Source organism: Homo sapiens, chromosome 3 (assembly GCF_000001405.40).
Source record: "Homo sapiens chromosome 3, GRCh38.p14 Primary Assembly".
Taxonomy (NCBI): Eukaryota; Metazoa; Chordata; class Mammalia; order Primates; family Hominidae; genus Homo; species Homo sapiens.
This window is the reverse complement of record NC_000003.12, coordinates 55,123,095-55,126,090: the sequence shown is the minus strand read 5'-3', so window position 1 is coordinate 55,126,090 and position 2,996 is coordinate 55,123,095.

Below are 2,996 nucleotides of genomic sequence, written 5' to 3'. Positions count from 1 at the left end.
AATGCAAACTGGATTTTGAAGAGCTACTAGCAAAATATATAATATACTCTATTAAACATTCTTATATTGATTATATATTGAAATGATAGTATTTTGGACATTTGGGGGTAAATAAAAGATATTCTTAAAATTAATTTATCTTGTTCCTTTTTGCTTTTTAACTTAAAATTGCATGGGGGCGTGGGGGCTTGCATTTGTGGCTTGCAGTTTATTTCTGTTGGACATTGCTGGTTTGGAAGGCAAGCTTTATGGAGTCAGGGACCAGGTCCACATTGTTTATGCCAATTCTTGCACATCAGTTCTTATACACTTATTATACACCAGTTCTAAGCACAAAGTGTGATACACACTTGATCCCCTCCACTGCCAAAACAAAATACTGCAGTATTAAATAAATGAAGTGAGGCTAGGCACCTTGGCTTACATGTGTAACCCCAGCGTTTTGGGACACCGAGGCGGAAGTATGGCTTGAGCACAGAAGTTTGAGACCAGCCTGGGCAATGTGGCGAAACCCCATCTCTACAAAAAATACAAAAATTAGCTGGGCATTGTGGTGCACCTGTGGTCCCAGCTGCTCGGGAGGCTGAGGTGGGAGAATCACCTGAGTCCAGGAGGTGTAGGATAGAGTGAGCCGTGATCACGCCATTGCACTCCAGCCTGGGCGACAAGGTGAGACTCTGTCTCAGTGAATCAGTCAATCAAGCAAGCAAGCAAACTTTGTAGAAATTCCCATATGATTCTGAATGCAAAATGTGCAAGCAATTCATTTAAAACAGTTCATTAAAAACCTTTACACTATTTTTAGAGTTCATTTGGAGGTCCGGCTATCAGATCACCAATAGTTTGAAGCCTGTTCCACGGCATCTCAGAGCATCCATCCATGGTGGTGTTCAAAGAATGCAGCCAGGGAACAAATGGTTTCCAGGCTGTCTGTGCATTTCTCTGTGCTCTTCTGAAAGTAGCCACAGGCAACTGAGAACGTTAAGAGTCTCACTGTAGCCTGACTATAGTCTGGGAGTCTTGATGGGTCATTGCTGTGCCAGTGTCATAAAATACTAGCCAGGAGACTCGATTCTTTTACTAATTTTTGGTCCCTCAGGCTCGAAACCTCAGCAAGCCATGGACCCTTGGTGTGCTCTGCTTTCCTCCTCTGTAAAGGACGTATAAAAATATTTGAGCTGGGTCCTTCATTGGGTTACTGTCATGATGACCAGGATAAGGATTTCTAGAAACAACCAATATTTGTAGGAAAGCAACAAAAAAGGCAGAGAAAATAAATGTACCTCATTTTTTCAATAGTAACTCAGAACATTTGCGCATACAGGGAGAGTATTTAGAAACTTTTTCTCAGGGATAAAAGCACAACTCCTTCCTTTAAGGGAGTCGCACTCACTGTAGTTTCTTTCCCCATGCTTTCAAGAAAATGCCTTTGAAGTTAGTAGTGTCAGAAATGCTCACCAGACAACTCTGAGGGACACTGGCAAGGAAGGGAGTTGGCTGGTGTCGATCTAGATGAGACTGTGGGAGAACAGTTCATCCCAGCAGCCCCTTCAACCAATGACCACCCTGCGGGGAAAGCCACCCAGGCGATTTAGACTTGCAGTTCTCCACCTTCAGCCCATTATATTTATTTTAAATATAATTCAGCAATGTTTAATAAACAAGACTGTTCATTGCCTTGATGTTTGTTCTTTGCAATTCATTTTAAACACATCAAGATATAAATTCATGAGGAAATATTGGGTATAATTTGAAGTACCCAGATTTTTCAAGCGAAATTGCAAACATAAAGATTGGTGTGCTTTGCCTATGTACACAAATTCAATTTGGCAATAGAGGCTGTTTCCAAGATCTTCAACATGTGTGGCAATCTTTTTCTAGTCCTAAAGCCAATTAAAAAATCAGGAAGGGAGGATACATATATTATATTATATATAATATATATATTTATATGTGTGTATATATATAATTTTCCCATCTTGCAGATTTTTTTGGGCTCAGGTTGTTTGTTAGTGTAGATATAACCTTCCCAGGTCTTCCACAAAAGAAAATACTTAATTTATATAGCTATAGCTTTGAAGAAATGTTTGCCCTCCACCCAGCTATCTGTGCAGTCCTAAGTCTACCTGACTTACTCCAGTAAGAATAGGAATTATTTTTCCTAAGAATCCACAGCTAGGTTAGAAAGGAAGTTTAGACACTTTTCATTTGTGGATTTCAGATGTTTAGGTTAGTTGGTTTGTTCTGATGGATTTCACCTAAAGTCCTTGAGTAACTAGCAATGTTATCTTTGTCAGCTAATGATGTTGGAGTAGCGCTGATGTTGTATTGCAATATCCCAGCCTTTATCTGGGCCACCTAACACATGGGACTATGACTACTTCAATGGTTTTAGATCCTGCCTCGACCTTTTTCTTTAGCAAAAGTCTTAAAGAAAACCCAAATGATTCTAAAATAATTGAGATGATTCAAAGGCTCCATTCCAAGTTAGATGAGCAGGCATCTGGATTAGACTTGAGGATTTTCCAAGCCCCAGTGGCAAAGAGATTGTGAATGAAAATTTTTTAATGCAAATATTACTGTTCATTGGGTGGTATGTCAGTAATGTGCACTCAGAAATGTGACAGGAGTGAATGTTTGGGGGTTATATAAAGCTCCAATCAAACTGACTTCAGATTTTTGGCCCTTTATTTCTCCAATTGCATTGTTCTTAATATAAAACTTTATATAAATGCAAGAAATATCTCAGTGAGTATTTATTCCATGGGTGAATATAAATGCATTATTCTTCATCTGAACTGGTACCCAGAGGCCAGTACAATACTGACTTCACATGAGCCGTTCACTACTTTCTAGTCATGTTGTAAAGAGGTGATGAATAGACTTTGATCTTGCCCAACTGGGAAGGAATGAACATCCCTAAATCTGATCTTTTCTTCTAGGCAGCTGGCTCAACCATTGATTCTTATGTAATGTTTATTTTCCAGATTTGAAAT